Here is a 23758-nt window from a genome sequence, read left to right as displayed (position 1 = left end):
TCACCATGTTGGTCGGCTGGTCTTGAATTCCTGTGATCCACCCACCTTGGCCTCCCAAAGTGCTGGGATTACAGGTGTGAGCCACCGAGCCCAGCCGCCTATTCATTCTTAAGAGGCTATTCAAGTTCTACTTTTTACATGAAGCTTTACTTTAGTTCTCTGATTTGTAGTAATGTACCTTTTCTAAACTTTCATTCATCAGTTATTAATTGTATTATTTTGGCATTGGATTACCTATTGCTTCATTCCATTTCCTGATTTTTTCATAGGATATATTCTGTTCCCTAAAATAAAATTTAATCTCCGTGAAGTTGGAGACTATTTCTTATGCTTCCTTTATACCTGGAAGAACATATAGCACAACATGCAGAATGTACCTTGTTGTTTAGCTATTAGAGGTGCCTATACATTCAAAATTGTTTTGTTCATAGAACTTCCTTTATTTCAAAAGCCACTCATAATGGCCCTATTTTCTCTAAATATGCATATTTCTTCTTCATCTTAACAGAATATTTTAATTCCTGCAATTTTGCAACACTTTTTATAGTAGGAATTTTTATTTAAGGTCACATTGCCAAACTGTGACTCCATTATTAAACATTTGGTCAAAATGCATTTTGTGCTTGGAAACACATACAAAAAGTATAAAACATGTGTATCATGTCATTTAGAAAATCTAAAAAAACGCACACAAATGATGAATAAAAAGCAATGGGGCCTGGTGAGGTAGCTCATGCCCTTAATCCCAGCACTTTGGGAGGCCAAGGTGGGAGGATCGCCTGATGTCAGGAGTTCGAAACCAGCTTGGCCAACATGGCAAAACCCCATTCTACTAAAAATACAAAAATTAGCTGGGCGTGGTGCTGGGCACCTGTGATCCCAGGTACTCAAAAGGCTGAGGCAGGAGAATTGCTTGAACCCGGTAGGCAGAGGTTGCAGTGAGCTGAGATCATGCCATTGCCCTCCAGCCTGGGTGACAGACCGAGATCTCCGTCTCAAAAAAAAAAAAAAAAAAGCAATGTTGATAGGACTAGTAATAAGGAGATCAAATGTGGGATGGAGTAGTTGGAAAAGACTTCTGGGAGGGGGGCGGGAAAGAAGCCAAAACAGGGTCAGATTTAGGGAGAAGAGAATGGGATAAGGAGGTAATGAACACTGAGTGATGGGAATGTGAGCAAAGTGGGTTGCAAGCCACAGGGTTGAATTAGAAGCATTGGTCAGATTGGGGAGGTACTTGGATGTCGCACAATATCTTGTGGGTTTTAGTCAGAAGGGAGAGTCAGTCACAAAGAATTTGTGACATAATAAAAAATCTCCTTTTTAAGACAAAAACAAAAACAGACAAAACTCTTTCATTTGATTTTAGAAGAAGTTTTAGTCATGCAAATATGTATGTATTTATAAATGTATAATTGTGTAATCTTTGTTACAGCTAACAAGACTTCCAGGAGAGCTATCTAATATGACTCAACTTAAAGAACTTGATATCTCAAATAATGCAATCAGAGAGATTCCAAGAAATATAGGAGAATTGAGAAATTTGGTTAGTTTACATGCATACAATAATCAAATAAGTTATCTTCCACCATCTTTGCTATCTTTAAATGATCTGCAGCAACTAAACCTGAGTGGTGAGTGTCAAGCATAATCAGTAAGCATAATCAATAAGTAGAGTATTAATGTCTGAGTTGCAAATTTTGCTGACAAGATACAGAATGGCAAAGAGTCAACATAAGGTATTAAGTCACCATTAGAAGGAAATGACTGTCCTAGGTACAGAAAATGAAAGCAAAGTATAAGGTCCAGTTCCTGCCTTGAAAGAGTAGGAGAGCCTGAACATATTTTCATTTATTTTCTCTCTTCTCTGCCTATACCCAGTCATTTAGTATTTCTTCCCTTTCTGAACCCAACCTCACCTCTTCCTCTACACACACCTACACAACCTCAGGTCAGCATTTTTTCTGCGTTTCCTTCTCTGTTGGCTCCCCTGATACTTCTCCTATACCCTATAATACTCTAATACCTTACATGGAGTCATTTACAAGGTAAAGCATTACAATAACCAAAACAAAATAAAAATGACATTGTAGATAAGAAAATAAACCACTCACTCTAAAGATATCAGAAAAGATTTCCCAAAGTACAACAAATACTGCGTTGATTATATATATATATACACACATACACACATATATATGCACATATATGTACACATATATACATATATACACATATATACACATATATATTTATCTGTTTGTTTATTTATTTATTTATTTTGAGACAGGGTCTCACTCTGTTGCCCAAGCTGGAGCACAGTGGCAAGATCATGGCTCACTGCAGCCTTGACCTCTCTAGGCTCAGGTGATCCACCTGCCTCAGCCTCCCAAAGTGCTGGGATTATAGGGGTGAGCCACCATGCCCAGCCAGCAGTGTCTTTAAATGCCTAATCTTGGAAGTGACATAACATCACTTCTGCTCTATTCTATTGATCACACAGACCAACCTTGGTATAATGTGGGAGGGGACTACACAAGGGGGTAACAGGAGGTAGATATCATTGTGGGCTAACAGATAGCCCTAATTCTATTTGAGTAATTGAATTTGTAGTTAAAAGCTCTCATACAAAGAAAATTTCTAGCTCAGATAACTTCACTGGTGAATTCTATAAAGTATTTTATAGAAGAAACAATGCCAATTTCAAAAAGGATTCACTGGTGAATTCTTTCAAGTATTTCAAAGAAGAAATCATTAAGTTAGGCCGGGCATGGTGGCTCATGCCTGTAATTCCAGCACTTTGGGAGGCCGAGGGGGGCGGATTGCTTGAGGTCAGGAGTTTGATGCCAGCCTGGCCAATATGGTGAAACCCCGGCTCTACTTAAAAAAAAAAAAATTAGTCAGGTGTGGTGGGGCACACCTGTAATCAAAATCAAAACTACTCAGGAGGCTGAGGCAGGAGAATCGCTTAGACCCAGGAGGCGGGGGTTGCAATGAGCTGAGATTGTGCCACTGCACTCCAGCCTGGGCGACAGAGTGAGACTCTGTCTGAAAGAATGAAGGAAAGAAAAGAAAGAAGAAAGGAAGGAAGGAAGGAAGGAGAAACAATGCCAATTTAAAAAATTCTGTCATAAAATTGAGGATACAACATGTCTCAGTTCATTCTGAGGCCAGCATTATCCTAATACCATAATAAGACAAAGACATTACTTGGAAACTTACAGAATAACATCCTGCTTGAACATCGATGCAAAATTCCTTAATGAATTAAAGCAAATTAAATCCATCAATATAAAAAATGATATCATATTGTGACCAAGTGGGATTTACCCTGGGAATGCAAGGTTGAGTCAATATTCAAAAACTAATCCATGTAATTCACCATCTGAACAGGCTTATGAAAAGCCATGTGAACTTCTCACTGTAAGTATAAAAAGCAAAGCAAGCAGATGTGGTGGTTTATGCTTGTAATCCCAGCTACTTGGGAGACATAGGCAGGAGGATTGCTTGAGCCCAGGAGTTTGAGGCTGCAGTAAGTTATGATTGTGCCACTGCATTCCAGCCTGGGCAACAAAACAAGACCTCATCTCAAAAAAAAAAAAAAAAAAAGCAAATATCATATGAAAAAATACAATTTCCATTCAAGATTTTCAAAAACAAACAACAACAAAAAAACTCTCAGCAAGCTAGAAATAGAAGAGAATTTCCTCAACTTGAAAAAATACATCTGCAAAACTCCTATAGCTAATATCACACTCCATGGTAAACGATTTATTTTCCACTATGATCAGGATTAAAGTAAAGTTCTCCTTTCTCACCACTTCTTTTTGACGTTATAACTGGAATCCCAACTAGCACAACAACACAAGAAAAAGAAATAAAAAGTAAATAGATTGTGAAGGAAGAAGAAAAAATTATTTCTGATAACAGAGACACGTTGTCTAGGTCAAAAATCCCAAAGGATCTACAGAACAAGTAAGTTTAGCAAGATTGCCGTATACAGAGTTAATATACAAAAATCAATCATATGTCTACAGACTAGCAAGAAATGATTGGAAATTGATTTCTTTAAAAGTACAATTTAAAATGGTACCAAAACCATAAATAAATCTAACAAATTACATATAAGATCTATATGCTGAAAACTGTAACATAGATAAAACTAAATAAACCTAAATAAGTAGAGAGATATATAGTGTTTATAAATTGGAAGACAATATTGTTAATATGTCAGTTTTCCCAAAACTTATCTTTAAATTCAACTCAATTCCAACAAAATCCTAGCAGAGTTTTTTGTTTCAGAAAACAATGAGGTAATTCTAAAATGTATATAAAAAGTCAAAGGAACTAGAATAGCTGAAACAATTTTGAAGAAGAAAAACAAAGTTGGATGATTCACACAACCTGATTTCAAGACTTATGCAAAACTATAGTCATGAAGACAGTGATAGTATTGGCAAAACAACAGACATAAGGATCAATGGGACAGAATAGAGAGTCTAGAAATAGATCCACAATTATGGTTAATATTGAGTGTCAACTTGATTGGATTGCAGGATGCAAAGTATTGTTCCTGCATGTGTCTGTGAGGGTGTTCCCAAAGGAGATTAACATCTGAGTCAGTGGACTGGGAGAGGCAGACCCACCCTCAATCTGGGTGGGCACAATCTAATCAGCTGCCACCTTGGCTAGAATAAAGCAGGCAGAAGTACGTGGAAGGACTAGACTGGCTGTGTCTTCTGGCCTCCATCTATCTCCCATGCTGGATGCTTCCTGCCCTCAAACACTGGACTCCAAGTTCTTCAGCTTTTGCACTCTTGGACTTACACCACTGGTTTGCCAGGGGCTCTAGGGCCTTTGGGCCTTTGGCCACAGACTGAAGGCTGCACTATTGGCTTCCCTACTTTTGAGGTTTCGGGACTTGGACTTGCTTCCTTGTGCCTCAGCTTGCAGATGGCCCATTGCAGGACTTCACCTTGTGGTTATGTGAGTCAATACTCCTTAATAAACTCCCTTTTATATATATATATCTATCCTATTAGTCCTGTCCCTCTGGAGAACCCTGACTAATACACCCACTATATGGTAGTCCTGTCCCTCTAGAGAACCCTGACTGACCACTATGTGGTCAACTGATTTTTGCCATGGTAGTTCCCCCTTATTCACAGTTTCACTTCCATGGTTTTACTCATGATCAACAGTGGTCTGAAAATATTAACTGGGAAATTCCAGAAATAAACAATTCATAAATTTAAAATTGTGCACTTTTCTGAGCAGTGTGATGAAATCTTGCACTGTCCTACCTGGGTTGTGAATCCATTCACTGCATGTGCTCCCTGCCTGTCAGTCACTTAGTAGCAGTCTCAGTTATCAGATCCACTGTCACAGTATCACAGTGCTTGTGTTCATGTAACCCTTATTTTACTTATTAATGGCCCTAAAGCACAAGAGTAGTGATGCTGGCAATTTGGATACACCATAGAGAAGCCTTAAAGTGCTTCCTTTAAGTGAAAAGGTGAGAGTTCTCAACTTGGAAAGAAAAGAATCATATGATGAGGTTGCTAAGATCTACGCTAAGGACGAATATTCTATCGATGAAATTGTGAAGACAGAAAAAGAAATTTGTGCTAATTTTGCTGTTGCACCTCAAACTACAAAATTACAGCCACAGTGCATGATAAGTGCTCAGTTAAGAAGGAAAAGGCATTAAATTTGTGGGTGAAAGACATGAACAGATGTGATCTGATTGACAGCAATCATGTTTGATACTGTATTTGGTTTGTAGGCATCAGCTGGGGGGTCTTGGAAGGTATCTCCCATGGATAAGGAGGAACTACTGTAATCCAACAGAGAAAGAACATTATTTTCAACAAATATTGCTGGATCAACTGGATGTCCAAAAGCCAAAACAAAACAAAATAAAACAAAAACAAATAAATAACCACAATATAATTTTGATCCTACACACTATATAAAAATATTACCTCAAAATGAATCACAGACCTAAATGTAAAAGCTAAAACTACAAAACTTCTAGATAAGAACATAGAAAAATATTGTTTTGCAAAAAAAAAAAAGTGAAAAAATATTAAAAGGCTGGGTGTCATGGCTCATGCCTGTAGTCCCAGAACTTTGGGAGGCTGAGATGTGAGGATTGCTTGAGACTCAGGAGTTTGGGACCAGCCTGGGCAACATGGGGAAACCCCATCTCTACAAACAAAATACAAAAAAATGAGCTGGGCATGGTGGTGCACTCCTGTAGTCCCAGCTGCTTGAGAGGCTGAGGTGGGAGGATCACTTGAACCCATGAGGCTGAGGCTGCAATGAGCCAAGATCGTGCCACTGCACTCCAGCCTGGGTGACAAAGCCAGACCCTGTCTCAAAAAAAAAGGTGAAAAAAATCAAAACTTTGGCAAGGATTTCTTATATACAACACTGAAATTACAATCCACAAATAAACATAATTGATAAATTGGTTTTCATCAAAATTGGAAACTTCTCTGCTGGGCGTGGTGGCTCATGCCTGTAATCCCAGCACCTTGGAAAACCGAGGCAGGTGGATCTCCTGAGGTCAGGAGTTCGAGACCAGCCTAGCCAACATGGTGAAACCCTGTCTCTACTAAAAATACAAAAAATTAGCCAGGCGTGGTGGCAGGCGCCTGTAATCCCAGCTACTTGGGAGGCTGAGGCAGGAGAATCGCTTGAACCCAGGAAGCGGAGGTTACAGTGAGCCAAGATGCTGCCACTGCACTCCAGCTTGGCTGACAAGAGCAAGACTAAAGGCTTTTTAAAATTTTTTTATTTTTATTTTTTTTTTACAGCAGAGTCTTGCTGTGTCATCCAGCCTGGAGTGCAGTGGCACGATCTAGGCTCACTGCAGCTTCTGCCTCTGGGGTTTCCTGCCTCAGCCTCCTGAGTAGCTGGGATTACAGGCGCCTGCCACCATGCCCAGCTAATTTTTGTATACTTTTAGTAGAGATGGGGTTTCACTATGTTGCCCAGGCTTCTCTCAAATTCCTGACCTCAAGTTATCCACCCGCCTTGGCCTCCCAAAGTGCTGAGATTATAGGCATGAGCCACTGTGCCCAGCCCAAAAGACATTTTTTAAAAGAATGAAAAGCAAAGCCATGGATTGGAAGAAAATATTTGCTTAATACTTAAAAAAAAAAAAACTAAAAACAAAATTAAGAAGTCAAACAACTTAATAAAAATTGGTATAAATTTTGAACAGATAATTTACTAAGAAGCTATATGAATGAAAAATAAGCATAAGAGGCCGGGCGTGGTGGCTCACGCCTATAATCCCAGCACTTTGAGAGGCTGAGGCAGGTGGATCGCTTGAGGTCAGTAGTTCAAGATCAGCCTAGCCAACATAGTGAAACCCCATCTCTACTAAAAATACAAAAATTAGCTGGGCATGGTGGCTTGTGCCTATGGTCCCAGCTACTCGGGAGGCTGAGGCACAAGAATTGCATGAACCCTGGAGGCAGAGGCTGAGGTGAGCTGAAATCACACCACTGCACTACAGCCTGGGTGACAGAGCTAGACTCTGTCTCAAAATAAAAAAGAAAGAAAGAAAGAAGCATATGAAAATATTATGCTTATTAGTCATATTAGAGAAATGCAAATTAACTATACAATGAAATATTGCTATTAGAATAGTTAAAATTAGGCTGGGCGCGGTGGCTCACGCCTGTAATCCCAGCACTTTGGGAGGCCCAGGCGGGCAGATCACGAGGTCAGGAGTTTGAGACCAGCCTGACCAATATGGTGAAACCTCGTCTCTACTAAAAATACAAAAATCAGCTGGTGTGGTGGCACGCACCTATAGTCCCAGCTACTCAGGAGAGTGAGGCAGAAGAATTGCTTGAACCCGGGAGGTGGAGGTTGCAGTGAGCTGAGGTGACGCCACTGCACTCCAGCGTGGGCAACAGAGCGAGACTCCATCCAAAAAAAAAAAAAAAGAATAGTTAAAATTAAAATCTGATAATACCAAAAGCTATCAAAATACAAGTAACTGAAACTCTGATACACTGATGAAAGAAATACAAAATGGTACAACCCTTTAGAAAAGTTTGGTAGTTTCTTATATAGTTGTACATACACTTAACCATACAAACCATCAATCTCACTTCAACTACTCTTTTACATGAAATGAAAACTTATTCAACAAAAAACTGAGTACAAATGTATAGAGAAGCTTCCTTTGTAATTGCCAAAACTGGAAGCTCTTCAAATGTCATTTATGTATTAAATGGATAAATTATTTACATCTATATAATGGAATACTTCTCATTATTAAAAAGAAAAAAACTATTGATACACACAACACTGATATTGTTGTAATGCTAAGTGAAAGAAGTCAGACCCTAAAGACTATGTGCTATGATTTATAACATATATGTTATACATGTATGTGTGTGTATATATACATATATAAAATTCTAGGTTTATAATAAATATATTTTACACACACACACACACACACACACACACACTCCCAGAAGCATCGTATCCAGATCTTGGTTTCTAAATATGATTATTCACTAAAAGGAACCAGTTTCCTTTAACTATATTTATAAATAATATAACTATAAAATATATAAATAATATAAAGGCAAATTTTAGGCCTCTCTAAATGACTACAAATTCATTTTTACCACAGTTTTACTTCTTTTTTTTTTTTTTTGAGATGGAGTTCCGCTCTTGTCTCCCAGGCTGGAGTGCAATGGCATTATCTCGGCTCCCTGCAACCTCTGCCTCCCGGGTTCATGCAATTCTCCTGTCTCAGCCTCCTGAGTAGCTGGGATTACAGGTGCCCACCACCATGCCCAGCTAATTTTTGTATCTTTAGTAGAGATGGGGTTTTGCCATGTTGGCCAGGCTGGTCTTGAACCCCTGACCTCAGGTGATCCACCCACCTCGGCCTCCCAAAGTGCTGGGATTACAGGCGTGAACCACTGGTTTTACTTTTTATCTTAGGTTTACATTGGATTAGGATGGTATTGAAAAAATTACATTTAGGAAGGTAGAGTTTAATTCCCACTCCCCCTTGAGGGTAGCCTAGATTTAGTGACTTACTTCCAAAGAATAGAGTATGGAAAGGAAAAAAATTATAACATTATCTTGGAGAATGCTAGCAGAGACTGTGTTATCCAAGCGATAAAATTTAACATCATTAGTGATGTCATGCGGATATGAGGTATCTCTGATATAATGTGATAAGTGCACTTCACCTCTGTGGTATTCTTTCCAAAAACCCATAACCCCAGTCTAATAATGAGAACATATCAGACAAATTCAAGTTATGGTACATTCTACAAAATTCATAACCAGTACTTCTTAAAACTGTCAAGGTCATGAAAAACAAGGAAAGACTGAGAAACTATCACAAACCAGAGGCGACTAATGAGACATAAAAGTATGCAATGAGATTTCCTGAAACAGAAAAAGGACACTGATGGAAAAACTAATGAATCCAAAAAAATCTGAAGTGTATTTAGTAGTAACATACCAATACTGGTTTCTTAGATTAAACAAATGTAATATGATAATGTGATAACATTAGGAGAAACTAAAGCTAGATGAGGAATGCAGAAGAACTTGCTACAATCTCTGCAACATTTCTATGAATCAAAAATTATGCTAAATAAACAGTTTAGTTTAAAAATTACCATCACATCCACTCTATAAAGTTCTTTGCTGTATTAAAAGAGGATAGTCTCTGTCTCATTTTGCCACCCCTAGGAGAGAAAGGAACCACAGCTGTCTTTCTATAAACACTCTTTTTTGCTCTTAGCATGTGGACATCAGAAATAATTTATGACCTGCTGCATTGTGAGGGTCCTCTGGTACTTTGCCAGCAAGACATAACAGATGTTATTTGTCTCCATAGTTTTCTTTTATAGAAAGATGTAATTCAATTCTAATTTTTTTCTACTAGGAAATAATCTGACAGCTCTACCTAGTGCTATCTACAATATTTTTTCACTGAAGGAGATAAATTTTGATGACAACCCTTTGCTGAGACCTCCAGTGGAAATCTGTAAAGGAAAACAGTTGTATACTATTGCACGCTATCTACAGAGGGCAGATGAAAGAGATGGTAGGTGATGAGTGATTGACTATCTAACAAGTCATTTCTTTTTTATTTTATTTTATTTTAATATTTTTGGAGACAGGGTCTCACTCTGACACCCAGGCTGGACTGCAGTGGCATGATCACGACTCACTGCAGCCTCGGACTCCTGGGCTCAAGTGATCCTCCCACCTCAGCCTCCTGAGTAGCAGGGACTGCAGGCATGTGTCACCGCACCTGGCTAATTTTTTAATCTTTTAGTAGAGACAGGGTCTCACTGTGTTGCCCAGGCTAGTCTTGAACTCCCGAGCTCAAGCAATCCTCCTGTCTTGGTCTCTCAGTGTTGGGATTACGGGCGTGAGCCACCACACCAAGCCACAAGACACTATCTGATATGAATTAAAAGATGGTTTGCTTTAATTGGAGGCTTTCAATCTGGCAGAGATATGAAAATATTGATGATCTTTCTTTTCTTAAGTTTAGGAGTTTGTTTTGATAATTCAGATTACGTAATCCAGGTCCACACAAATTGAGGCACTGAAAATAGGCAAATCCAAGTGGAGGAGGGGTGGGCTGTTTCCTACCCTATTGACCTTAATGCCCTTCAATAGGTGTTTCATTGAGATTGTGGCCAGACTCAAAATCCACACATAAATCTGTCAGTTCCAATCTGTTCTACCAAATGTAGTTGTTCTAAAAGACATTTGGAGTTGCGTGTGGTGGCTCATGCCTGTAATCCTAACACTTTGGGAGGCCAAGGCAGGACAATCACTTGAGCTCAGAAGTTCGAGACCAGCCTGGGCAACATAGTGTGTGACCTTGTCTCTATTTTAAAGATAAATAAATAAATAAATAAATAAAATACATTCGGCCTTGAGGGAAAACCATGGAGCCATTCCACTGATGGCAGTCAGTCCCACTATGACCATCTGTCTGAAATATTTTGATAGTCTTTATCCCATCCGTCCTTGAGCTCTCTGTTGTGTGTCTGATTATTTCTGAGAACAGGCCCATTTTCTTTAAAAGGGACTAGATGAAGACTGGCTTCAAGTGTCTGGGAGGGAATCTTCACTGTCCAATTCTTTCCCTGGGGCTGGGTTCGCAACAGTTAGGCTTTTCCCTAGGACTCTGATTTGCCACTTTTCATCACTAGTCAGAATGAATCCAGATTTTGGTCCTCTAATTTAATGCAAGAGAACAATCAGTTATGATCCAGATTTGGGGAAATGGAATACCAAAAACTATCCCTTCAGATCATTCTATCATGTATCTTGTCTACATAATCAGGAGCTTGTACTAATGTAATTTCATAGTGAGACAGTCATGAAAAATTGCTTAGTCTTTAAAGTCACAATATACATCCATATACATGGCTATCATTTAGAGGCTTTTGCAAGACTTGGGCTTTATTGATAAAGGAACCTAAAATACAAAATTAAAAGCCACAGTAGCTGTCTTCTTTAACTTACTGTGCAAGTTGATTGTCTTAATTGTTACTATAAAAAGGGATTTTTGGCCAGGTGTGGTGGCTCACACCTGTAATCCCGGCACTTTGGGAGGCCAAGGTGGGTGAATCACGAGGTCACGAGTTCAAGAGCAGCCTGGCCAACATGGTGAAACCCCATCTCTACTAGAAATACAAAAAATTAGCTGGGCATGGTGGTGGGCACCTGTAATCCCAGTTACTCAGGAGGCTGAAGCAGGAGAATCGCTTGAACTCGGGAGGCAGAGGTTGCAGTGAGCCGAGATCACACCACTGCACTCCAGCCCGGGTGACAGTGCGAGACTCCGTCTAAAAAATGAAAGGATCTTTTATGGTAATTCTATTTCTATAGAATAAAGATTTTCGGGGTTTTCTAGGATCCATAAAGTATTTCTGTTAGATACAGTACTTTAGAGAAGGGCTTAGAATCTCAGCCATTTATCTCCTTTCCCTACACCCAAGGAGCCTTCATATTGCAGGCTTGGCATCCAGTGAGGGCAGAAAGAAATCAGTATGGGAGATGTATTTATCTGCAATTAACAAATGGAGCCTTTTTCTTAAACTTTTACTTAGAAGATTGGAATTTTATATATATATATATATCATAGCATGAAATATAGCCTGAGAGAGTATATATAAAACTTTTTAAAATAGAACATATTTGATCACGCGGGATGGTACATCTCGAGTTCTGAAAATTCTCACAGGCTGGGGGCAGTGGCTCATGCCTGTAGTTCCAGGACTTTGGGAGGCCAAGGCAGGAGGATTGCTTGAGCCCAGGAGTTCGAGACCAGCTTGGGCAATATAGTGAGACTATTGCTTCTCGGCCTTTTGGCTAAGATCAAGTATAGTGAGACCCTGTCTCTACAAAAAATTTTAAAAACTGAGGTGGGCAGATAACTTGAGGCCAGAAGTTTGAGACTGGCCTGGCCAACATGCCAAAAACCCATCTCTACTAAAAATACAAAAATTAGCTGGGCATGGTGGCACGTGCCTGTAGTTCCAGCTACTCGGGAGGCTGAGGCAGGAGAATTGCTAATCTGGAGGCACCTGTAGTTCCAGCTAATCAGGAGGCGGAGATTGTAGTGAGATGAGATCCCGCCACTGTACTCTAGCCTGGGTGACAGAGCCAGACTCTGTCTCAAAATAAGTAAATAAATAAAAATTAAAAATAATAAATTAGCCAGGCATGGCGGCACATGCTTGTGGTCCCAGCTACTTGCGGGGGTGAAGTGGGAGAGTCGCTTGAGCCTGGGAGGTCGAGGCTGTGGTGACCTGTGATTATGCTACTGCACTCCAGTCTGAGCAACAGAGTGAGACCCTGTCTAAAAGAAAGAAAAGAAAAAACTCACAGTACCTTTGTCAAGAAAAAATGGATCTTGTTCAAATTAGCTGGAAGTTTTAATTAAAAAAACTAAAATCACTAATTGCTCAGCCAACTTATTAAATAATTGACTTGAATATAAAATATGCACTTATACACCATATTTATAGTAGATGTGAACTTAGTTTCTCAAGTTGGCACATAAAGAAGCACGTACAATTTTTGCCCATATTCTCCACCAAACAAAACAAAACAAAACAAAACAAAACAAAACAAAACACACCCACGCACATAAAAAAGCCAGAATTGAAGGAAGCAGTCAAATGCATTTCAAATCCTGGAGAAATTAAAGGGCTTGGAAGTCACTTTAAAGTTGCTTATAAATAGGCCCAGTGTGGTGACTCATGCCTTTAATCCCAGCACTTTGGGAGGCCGAGGAGGGCGGATCACCTGAGGTCAGGAGTTCGAGACCAGCCTGACCAACATGGAGAAACCCCATCTCGATTAAAAGTACAAAAAATTAGCTGGGTGTGGTGGCGCATGCCTGTAATCCCAGCTACTCGGGAGGCTGAGGCAGGAGAATCACTTGAACCCGGGAGGCAGAGGTTGCGGTGAGACCAGATCACATGCCATTGCACTCCAGCCTGGGCAACAAGAGTGAAACTCTGTCTCAAAAAAAAAAAAAAGTTGCTTATAAATATTCTTTTCAACAGCCATTTTAAGTGTTGGATTTTTCAAATTTTAGAAAAAAATGGAACAAATGTCAAATGTTTCAAATTTCAGTTCATAATTTAGATCTGCATTGTCATTGTCATTTTTTTTTTTTTTTATGAGACGGAGTTTCACTCTTGTTGCCCAGGCTGGAGTACAATGGTGCAATCTTGGCTCACTGCAACCTCTGCCTCCTGGATTCAAGCGATTCTCCTACCTCAGCCTCCCGAGTAGCTGGGATTACAGGCATGTGCGACCACGCCCGGCTAATTTTTTGTATTTTTAGTAGAGACGGGGTTTCTTCATGTTGGTCAGGCTGATCTCGAACTCCCGACCTCAGGTGATCCACCCGCCTTGGCCTCCCAAAGTGCTGGGATTACAGGCATGAGCCACCGCGCATGGCTGTCATTGTCATTTTTTTTTTTTTTGAGACAGTCTTGCTCTGTTGCCCAGGCTGGAGTACAGTGGTGTAGTCTCAGCTCACTGCAACCTCCGCCTCCCCGGTTCAAGTGAGTCTCCTGCCTCAGCCTCCCGAGTAGCTGGGACTACAGGAACACACAACCATGCCTGGCTAATTTTTATATTGTTATTAGAGATGGGGTTTTGCATGTTGGCCAGGCTGGTCTTGAACTCCTGATCTCAGGTGATCCACCTGCCTCGGCCTCCCAAAGTGCTGGGATTACAGGCGTGAGCCACTGTGCCCGGCCAGCATTGTCATTTTCAGTTTTACTTAACATATATATTTCATAGAAGCACAGAAATAAGAAAACTAGATATAATATGAACTCAAAATAGATTATCTTTTTCAAAAGATATACATTTTATTTTATGTTCAAACGTAGAGAAAATTTTAGAGAAGATATTCAAGATAGTTGCCAACAACATCACTGAAACCAATTTTGAATTTTTATGTCAAAAACTAAACCTGGCAAACTCAGAAACTGATATGCCTACAAAGAGGTATGTATAAATGACAGCATTTAGTACAAATTTATTCTCATTCTGATGTATATCATGTTGATATTGCATGGTTTTGAAACATTCGTATTAACACAATCTCTACTTTGCTGTAGAAAGCTGATTTTAGTTTATTACATGTTTGTGATCCATGTTGGAAGGCCATATAACATAATAAAGAACAAAGGCTATGAGGACAGACTGACTTTTACTCACAACTGGCTTTGTGACCTTGGGCAAGTCCTTTAACTTCTTGATGACTTGGTTTCTTCACTGGTAAAATGAATATACTCATATAAGAGAATTGTCATGAGAATCAAGTGAGATCAAGCTATAAAGCATATAGTAGCTGGGTGCAGTGGCTCACACCTGTAATCCCAGCATTTAGGGAAGCTGAGGCGGGTGGATCACGAGGTTAGGAGATTGAGACCAGCCTGGCTAACACGGTGAAACCCCGCCTCTACTAAAAATACAAAAAATTAGCCCGGTGTGGTGGTGGGCACCTGTAGTCCCAGCTACTCGGGAGGCTGAGGCAGGAGAATGGCGTGAACCCGGGAGGCGGAGCTTGCAGTGAGTTGAGATCGTGCTACTGCACTCCAGCCTGGGAGACAGCAAGACTCTGTCTAAAAAAAAAAAAAAAAAAAAAGCATATAGTATAGTAGCAGTAATATACTGGTTTATTAGAAATAACCCACAATTATGATTTTGAGGTCTTGAGAACTGAATGTAAATTGAATTGCTGATTTTCTATAAGGGTACAAGGGATGGGCTGGAGCTAACATTCACTTTCTATGTCCCAAGCTCCATGCCAAATTTTTATAGAGATTCTCTTCACCAATTAATTTCATCCTCACTTCAGTCTGATAAAATTGGTTTGAAAACCTAGATATACAATATTACAGGAGTTTAAAGCAATGTTCTTAATTGACAATTCAGATAATTATCAGTAATTTAAATATATTAAACGTTAATAAATATTTAACTATTAATATTATTAATAATGTTTTTCAGCACTGTTTCATTAAGTGAGAGAGCCCACCAAGCACTTGTTATATGGAAAACACAAAGTAACAAGTTATCACTAACTGCTGCTGCTTTAAGAGATCAACTAATTCGAGCACTAACTATGATAGGAGCATATGAAATTATGGACAAAATAACAGCTTTAAATCTTTTTACGCGTGCAATTAAATTCTAACCAGTGGATCAATAATAAAAACTGAAAACTTTTGATGCACTTATAATTGAAACTGTGTTTGTGAACCATTTCACTTCACTTTATCATACAAGAGAATTGCATCTTTTTTCTTTCATTCTTAAGAGATGATGACAACTTATAACTATCACTCTAATGTTATAATAAAACATTACAGACACTGTTTTGTGTGTTTGTTCTGTTGTCTTATTATAGTGATGTTGCATTTGAAAATAATTCCTTTTTTTTTTTTTTTTTTTTTGAGATGGAGTTTTTGCTCTTGTTGCCCAGGCTGGAGTGCAGTGGTGTGATCTTGGCTCACTGCAACCTCTGCCTTCTGGGTTCAAGTGATGCTTCTGCCTCAGCCTCCTGAGTAGCTGGGACTACAGGCGCCCACCACCACGCCGGGATAATTTTTGTATTTTTAGTAGAGACGGGGTTTCACCATGTTGGGCAGGATGGTCTCCATCTCCTGACCTTGTGATCTGCCCGCCTGGGCCTCCCAAAGTGCTGGGATTACAGGTGTGAGCCACCATGCCTAGCCTGAAAATAATTCTATTAAAATTTTTCTGTTATATAATGCTTTTATACAACCCCCGATTTATAAGTAGCAACATTACTAGTGATTTTCACTGGAGTTAGAAAGCAGAACAGTTTCTTTTTAGATGCTAGTTTAAAAACAGAAATAAATATACCATTCCTACTTTTTCTCCATTAGGAATGGGATAGCTTTGTTAAACATAAACTAGGGCCAGGGCCAGTAATCCTTCAGTTGAGTGTCCAGACAGGATTGATAGAGTGGCCATCTGTTGTCTTGTCTGTCATGTGAGCCTCTCCCCTTCTTCTGCTATCAGAAAACCTTTCATAGGGGGAATGCATTGCACATATTTCAATGTGGAGCTGACCTTGTCGTGTAAGTCTCTTCCCCTACTCCAGCACTAACATCAATATCTTCTACTCATTTAACCATAATGATTGATTCTGACCCAGGAAAAGCCATTTTGAGAGGTGACAGCGTGCTGGCAGTCCTCACAGCCCTCGCTCGCTCTCGGCGCCTCCTCTGCCTGGGCTCCCAATTTGGCGGCACTTGAGGAGCCCTTCAGCCCACCGCTGCACTGTGGGAGCCCCTTTCTGGGCTGGCCAAGGCCGGAACCGGCTCCCTCAGCTTGCAGGCATGTGTGCAGGGAGAGGCGCGGGCGGGAACCCGGGCTGCACGCGGTGCTTGCGGGCCAGCGCGAGTTCCGGGTGCGCGTGGGCTCGGCGGCCCCGCACTCGGAGCGGCCGGCCAGCCCAGCCGGCCTGGACAGTGAGGGGCTTAGCACCTGGGCCAGCAGCTGCTGTGCTCAATTTCTCGCCGGGCCTTAGCTGCCTTCCCGCGGGGCAGGGCTCGGGACCTGCAGCCCACCATGCCCGAGCCTCCCCCACTTCCGTGGGCTCCTGTGCGGCCAGAGCCTCCCCGACGAGTGCCGCCCCCGGTTCCATGGCGCCCAGACCCATCGACCATCCAAGGGCTGAGGAGTGCGGGCACACGGTGCGGGATTGACAGGCAGCTCTACCTGCGGCCCCGGTGGGTGCGGGATCCACCGGGTGAAGTCAGCTGGGCTCCTGAGTCTGGTGGGGACTTGGAGAACCTTTATGTCTAGCTAGGGGATTGTAAATACACCAATCGGCACTCTGTATCTAGCTCAAGGTTTGTAAACACACCAATCAGCACCCTGTGTCTAGCTCAGGGTTGGTGAATACACCAATCGACACTCTGTATCTAGCTAATCTAGTGGGGACGTGGAGAACCTTTGTGTCTGGCTCAGGGATTGTAAAGCACCAATCAGCGCCCTGTCAAAATAGACCACTCGGGCTCTCTGTAAAATGGACCAATCAGCAGGACGTGGGTGGGGCCAGATAAGAGAATAAAAGCAGGCTGCCTGAGCCAGCAGTGGCAACCTGTTCCGGTCCCCTTCCACACTGCGGAAGCATTGTTCTTTCGCTCTTTGCAATAAATCTTGCTGCTGCTCTCTCTTTGGGTCCACACTGCCTTTATGAGCTGTAACACTCAACACGCAGGTCTGCAGCTTCACTCTTGAAGCCAGCAAGACCAGGAACCCACCGGGAGAAAGGAACAACTCCAGACGCGCCGCCTTAAGAGCTGTAACACTCACTGCGAAGGTCTGCAGCTTCACTCCTGAGCCAGCGAGACCACGATCCCACCAGAAGGAAGAAACTCCGAACACATCCGAACATCAGAAGGAACAAACTCCAGAGGCGCCATCTTAAGAGCTGTAACACTGACCGTGAGGGTCGGCTTCATACTTGAAGTCAGTGAGACGAAGAACCCACCAATTCCGGACACAATTTGACTTAAGCCAGGCCATTAACAGTTTCTTTTGGATCTTTTTGCAGAGCTACTATGGAAGATGCACTCTTTCTGCGGGTAGGTTATGAGTCTTTTAGTCTTGGTATATCATGCACAGTGTGTAGTAGTCTGCCGAGAGCTGGATGCCAAGAGAGAGACAGAACCTTGTTTATGTTGTCTGATCCTCAATCCCCATACTTCTGCACTTTTTACTTTTCACCCACTTAAGGAGTGTGACCTGGGTTTCCATAACTTTGAATGGAAAGAGACCTAATACAAGTGGTTAAGAATATTGTGGAGCCCGGGCAGGGTGGCTCATGCCTGTAATCCCAGCACTTTGGGAGGCTGAGACGGGCAGATCACGAGGTCAGGAGATCGAGACCATCCTGGCTAACACAGTGAAACCCTGTCTCTACTAAAAATACAAAAAAATAGCTGGGCATGGTGGCGGGCGCCTGTAGTTCCAGCTACTCGGGAGGCTGAGGCAGGAGAATGGCGTGAACTCAGGAGGCAGAGCTTGCAGTGAGCTAAGGTGGCACCACTGCACTCCATCCTGGGCAACAGAGCGAGACTCTGTCTCAAAAAAAAAAAAATATTGTGGACATAGTGCAGTTTTTGTTACCTTAAAAAATAATTTTCTATGTGAGACCATATTAAATAAATTTATTTTGCAGGTTAAAATTTAAAGTGTATATTTTGTTGCCATTTTGGAAGTGCAACATAACATTGGTTTAACAACTATACAGCCTGTGTCTCTAATCCTTCCCTATTTTAAAACTTCTTGCAGTAGGGATGAGAACCTGTGGGTTTATATTGGCTTAATGATGGTTGTTGTTAATGTTTTCCACTGGAGGCAAGGTACTTCCATAGAACATTAAAGTGTGAAGGACCTTGGAAATTGTCTAGTGAAGTCTATCTTCTCATTTAACAAATGAGCAAACTTAAGACCTAAAAAAATTTAAGTGATATGAACTGGTTTCTCTACTCTTCCTTCAGAAATGAAGTTATAAAGACTAGAAAATGTTCTAGGTGAAGCTTTGGTATGAAGTAAGAGAGAGAGACAGAGAGAAAAGAAGAAAGCTGGGTAACATCAGAACCACGAAAGCGTCAGTTCTTATCAACTTTTGCTAAATTGCTACAATTACACACTTTTTAACAAATATCCTAGCCCATAGACTCGCCCAAACCACACCGTACATTGCTACCAGACTTATCTTCTAAAAACACTGATCTAACCATATCACCCTCTGATAATTTTTTTTTTTTTTTTTTTGAGAAGGAGCTTTGCTCTTGTTACCCAGGCTGGAGTGCAATGGCATGATCTCGACTCACTACAACCTCCGCCTCCCGGGTTCAAGCAATTCTCCTGCCTCAGCCTCCAGAGTAACTGGGATTACAGGCACCTGCCACCATGCCCAGCTAATTTTTTGTATTTTTAGTAGAGTTGGGGTTTCACTGTGTTGGCCAGGCTGGTCTTGAACTCCTGACCTAAGGTGATCCACCCACCTTGGCCTCCCAAAGTGCTGGGATTACAGGCATGAGCCACCACGCCCAACCCAAAAATCTTTTTAAAAATATTGGAAAGTAGGCCAGGTGCGGTGGCTTACTCCTGTAATCCCAGCACTTTGGGAGGCTAAGGTGGATGGATCATCTGAGGTCAGGAGTTCGAGACCAGCCTGGCCAACATGGTGAAATCCTGTCTCTACTAAAAATACAAAAATTAGCCAGGCATGGTGGTGCATGCCTGTAGTCCCAGCTACTTGGGAGGCTGAGGCAGGAGGATCTCTGGAACCCAGGTGGCAGAGGTTGCAGTGAGCCAAGATTGTGCCACTGCATTCCAGACTGGGCGACAGAGTGAGATCTCCGTCTCAAAAAAACAAAAAAACAGAAAGAAAAAAGTGTCCAGCTGGCTTCATTGCAGAAATTGACAAACTGATCCTAAAGTGAAATAAACCTAAAGGGACCCAAAATAGTCAAAACAATCTTGAAAATGAATAAGAAAGTTGGAGAACTCATACTTCTCACTTTCTTTCTTTTTTTTTAATTTGAGACAAGGTCTCACTCTGCTGCCCAGGCGGGAGTGCAGTGGCACAATCACAGCTCACTGCAGCCTCAACCTCTGGGGCTCAGGCAATCTTCCCACCTCAGCCTCCCAAGTAGCTGGGACTACATGCCTACACCACCATGCCTAGCTAATGTTTTGGTATTTTTTAGAGATGGGGTTTCACCGTGTTGCCCAAGCTGGTCTCGAACTCCTGGGCTCAGGTGATCTGCCTGCCTTGGCCTCCCAAAGTGCTGGGATCTCACTTTCAAACTTAATACAAAACTGCAGTAATCAAGACAGTGTAGTTCTGGCATAAGGATAGACATATAGATCAACAGAATAGAACTGAGAGGCCAAAAATAAACCCTAACATATACAGTTAATCAATTTTTTTTTTTTTTTTTTTAGATGGAGTCTCGCTCTGTCACCCAGGCTGGAGTGCAGTGATGTGATCTCGGCTCACTGCAAGCTCCGCCTCCCAGGTTCACGCCATTCTCCTGCCTCAGCCTCCCGAGTAGCTGGGACTACAGGCACCTGCCACCACGCCTGGCTAATTTTTTTTTTTTTTTTTTTGTATTTTTAGTAGAGATAGTGTTTCACCATATTAGCCAGGATGGTCTCAATCTCCTGACCTTGTGATCTGCCCGCCTGGGCCTCCCAAAGTGCTGGGATTACAGGCATGAGCCACTGCACCCAGCCCAGTTAATCAATTTTTAACAAGGGTGTCAGATGATTCACTGGGGGAAAAACAGTATTTTCAACAAATGGTGCTGTAACAACTAGATCCACCAGCAAAATAATAAATTTGGAGCCCTACCTCACACCATATACAAAACTTAAAATGGATCAAAGTTCTAAATAGAAAAGCTAAAGTCATAAAACTTTTAGAAGAAAACATAGGTATAAATTTTGGGTTAGATGGTTCTTAGATATGACACAAATTACAAGCAATAAATTAAAAAATAGTGATAATTTACTCTGACCTACTGTAAAGAAAAGCAATAATTTCAAAGCTACTGCCAGATCTTTTGGGTCACTGAAAAGTATCCACCAGCAGTAGATGGTCCCATTGGTCCTGTTGTTTCAAATGCTCTAGCTAGCATAGTCTGAAATCCAGAGAATGAATAATAGGAAAACTGATTCTCTCAGCACAATCCTGTACAGTCCAATTCTGTTTCTTGTTTGTTTTTTGAGACGGAGTCTCACTCTGTCGCCCAGGCTGGAGTGCAGTGGCACAATCTCAGCTCACTGCAACCTCCACCTCTTGGGTTCAAGTGATTCTCCTGCCTCAGCTTCTCAAGTAGCTGGGACTACGGGCACATACCACCATGCCTGGCTAATTTTTTTTTTTGTAGTTTTAGTAGAGACGGGTTTCACCATTCTGGCCAGGCTGGTCTTGAACTCCTCTCCTCGTGATCCACATGCCTTGGCCTCCCAAAGTGCTGGGATTAAAGGCATAAACCACCATGCCCAACCCATTCTGTTAAGAGTAGGAAAATCAGTGTAGATTTATCTGCACTTAGGGAAATGTTTGTCTTCCCTTACCTGAATTTGCATTGTCCCAGCACTGAAAAATGTTTGTCCTTGGAGAGTGTGTGTGCGCTTGGTTCAGTAAGTTACCAGAAAACTATAAGAAGAATGAAGATGAACATTTTCTTTGCATACTGTTGTAGAGACTTGAGGGACCTAGACTTGAGGTGCCAAATGGGACCGTTTTCCTGAACCACCTCCTACGGAAAAAATCAGATTTATTATGTTTTGCATAATTGTGTCTTATGAATTGCTCTGCTGGTGAAAGGTAGAGTTGGGGTTTGGAGTGTTGTGGGGTGGGCTGTGGATGCCAGAGGGAGACCAATCCCTGTGGGTAGGCATTACAGTTTTCCTGCAAGGGAATGGGACTTTTTTTTTTTTTAATGGGGAGGGATTAAAGAAAGCCCATTCACTGAGGAGCAGCAGAGAGGTAAACTTCAGACAGGACAACTGCTCTGTGTCTATGAAGGGAACCTGAAACCGCCTTTGCAAAATTATGACTGAGACAATGAAAGAGATTTAACTTAACCAACTCCATCTTGCTTATTTTTTTATTTTTATTTTTATTGAGACAGAGTCTCACTGTGTTGCCCAGGCTGGAGTGCAGTGGTGCTATCTCGGCTCACTGCAACCTCTGCCTCCCAGGTTCAAGTGATTCTCCTGCCTCAGCCTCCTCAGTAGCTGGTATTACAGGCGCCCACCACCACGCCCAGCTAATTTTTGTATTTTTAGAAGAGATGGGGTTTCCCCATGTTGGCCAGGCTGGTTTCAAACTCCTGACCTCAAATGATCCACCCACCTCGGCCTCCCAAAATGTTGAGATTACAGGTGTGAGCCACCATGCCCAGCCAGACTCCATCTTGCTTCTAACCTCCAAGCTGTCTTTGTTCATTCCTGGGTGTAGGCTGAACGAACTTTGGGAGAAACTAACTTAGTTTGTAGTTTATAGTTTAAACAAAGACAGTAACAGCCCTTTCTCAAAACAGGCCTCCTTCTTGCCTGGGAACTATACTAACATTAGCCACAGGATTAAAAATTATGACTTAGGAGTCATGCAGCTGGAGGCTGTAAGATTCTGACCCTCCCTAAACTGCTCTTAAGATCAGTGTTTGAGATATTTTGCAGACCCTGCACTTGATGGATCAGCTGGCACCACCGACTAATAAACTGGCTTATCTGATGTTGTGGCCTCCACTCAGGAACTGACTGAAGGCAGGAAGACAGCTTCAACTCCCTGTGATTTCACCCCTGACCAATCACCACACCTGGCTCACTGGCTACCCCCCAACTCCCACCCACCAAGTTATCCTTAAAAACTCTGCTCTCCAAATGCTCAGGGAGACTGATTTGAGTAATAAAACTCCAGTCTCCCACACAGCTGGCTCTGCGTGAATTACTTTATTGCAACTCCCCTGCCTTGATGAATTGGCTCTGTCTAGGCAGCAGGCAAGGTGAACCCCTTGGGTGGTTACATTAGGACTTAAAATAATAAATTATTAAGAACCCTAGAGAGTCATTTTTTTAAATGGATTATATCTATCAAAACTTACAGTATTACAAATTAAAATAAATGAAAATGTTTATTGAAAATAATTATTTACATAAATAATGTCATTTCATGAATATAGCTATATTTTCTTTTTTTTTTTTTTCGAGACGGTGTCTTGCTCTGTCACTCAGGCTGGAGTGCAGTGGCACAATCTCGGCTCACTGCAACCTCCACCTTGCGAGTTCAAGCGATTCTCCTGCCTCAGCCTCCTGAGTAGCTGGGATTACAGGCACGCGCCACCATGCCTGGCTAATTTTTGTATTTTTAGTAGAGATGGTGTTTCACCATGTTGGTCAGGCTGGTCTCAAACTCCTGAACTTGTGATCTACCCACCAGGGCCTCCCAAAGTGGTGGGATTACAGGAGTAAGCCACCGCACCCGGCCTATAGCTATATTTTCAAAAATAAAATATTAGTGAGAAGAATGGCATAGTTTTAGATTTTTGTAAATCTCTTTTACACCTGGCTTAATAGAAGACTGTTGGGTTCTTTTTTCTTTTTTAATTTTTTATTTCCATAGGGTTTTAAGAAATGTGGTATT

General features: G+C 41.5%; 1 protein-coding gene and 1 long non-coding RNA gene across 6 annotated transcripts in view, besides 4 other annotated features; one reads left to right on the top strand and one right to left on the bottom strand.

Annotated features, from left to right (window-relative positions):
- Window positions 1–18993, top strand: part of LRRD1 (leucine rich repeats and death domain containing 1) — a 37500-nt gene extending 18507 nt beyond the window's left edge. For 3 of the 4 annotated variants that reach the window (NM_001384933.1, NM_001384932.1, NM_001384934.1), the window contains exons 2-4: window positions 1433–1631; window positions 9941–10102; window positions 17807–18993. In NM_001384933.1, the coding sequence (NP_001371862.1) occupies window positions 1463–1631; window positions 9941–10102; window positions 17807–17826 (351 nt within the window). In that variant the 5' untranslated portion in view covers window positions 1433–1462 and the 3' untranslated portion in view covers window positions 17827–18993. Of the gene's footprint in view, window positions 1–1432; window positions 1632–9940; window positions 10103–14435; window positions 14554–15561; window positions 15795–17806 lie in introns of those variants that run through there. The other variant, NM_001161528.2, reaches the window with a different exon arrangement.
- The window catches only part of CYP51A1-AS1 (CYP51A1 antisense RNA 1), a 46163-nt gene that overhangs the window by 20090 nt on the left and 2315 nt on the right, over window positions 1–23758 (bottom strand). The window contains exons 2-3 of one of the 2 annotated variants that reach the window (NR_122109.1): window positions 21685–21869; window positions 17902–18234 (exon numbers count right to left, since the gene is read on the bottom strand). The exons of the other annotated variant lie outside the window; for it this stretch is intronic. This is a non-coding gene — a long non-coding RNA (CYP51A1 antisense RNA 1). The remainder of the gene's footprint in view (window positions 1–17901; window positions 18235–21684; window positions 21870–23758) is intronic. 2 annotated transcript variants of the gene reach the window in all.
- Window positions 1711–1760: a silencer, noted in NCBI's record as "silent region_18367". NCBI's record gives its function as "represses an Ori minimal core promoter by ATAC-STARR-seq in GM12878 lymphoblastoid cells {active_cell/tissue: GM12878}" and the evidence as "EXISTENCE:reporter gene assay evidence [ECO:0000049][PMID:35858748]".
- Window positions 22594–22794: a silencer, noted in NCBI's record as "peak6636 fragment used in MPRA reporter construct". NCBI's record gives its function as "represses an SCP1 promoter by STARR-seq MPRAs in K562 erythroleukemia cells {active_cell/tissue: K562}" and the evidence as "EXISTENCE:reporter gene assay evidence [ECO:0000049][PMID:32103011]".
- Window positions 22814–23014: a silencer, noted in NCBI's record as "peak6635 fragment used in MPRA reporter construct". NCBI's record gives its function as "represses an SCP1 promoter by STARR-seq MPRAs in K562 erythroleukemia cells {active_cell/tissue: K562}" and the evidence as "EXISTENCE:reporter gene assay evidence [ECO:0000049][PMID:32103011]".
- Window positions 22994–23194: a silencer, noted in NCBI's record as "peak6634 fragment used in MPRA reporter construct". NCBI's record gives its function as "represses an SCP1 promoter by STARR-seq MPRAs in K562 erythroleukemia cells {active_cell/tissue: K562}" and the evidence as "EXISTENCE:reporter gene assay evidence [ECO:0000049][PMID:32103011]".

Source organism: Homo sapiens, chromosome 7 (genome assembly GCF_000001405.40).
Source record: "Homo sapiens chromosome 7, GRCh38.p14 Primary Assembly".
Classification (NCBI taxonomy): domain Eukaryota; kingdom Metazoa; phylum Chordata; class Mammalia; order Primates; family Hominidae; genus Homo; species Homo sapiens.
This window is presented reverse-complemented; position numbering and strand designations above follow the sequence as displayed.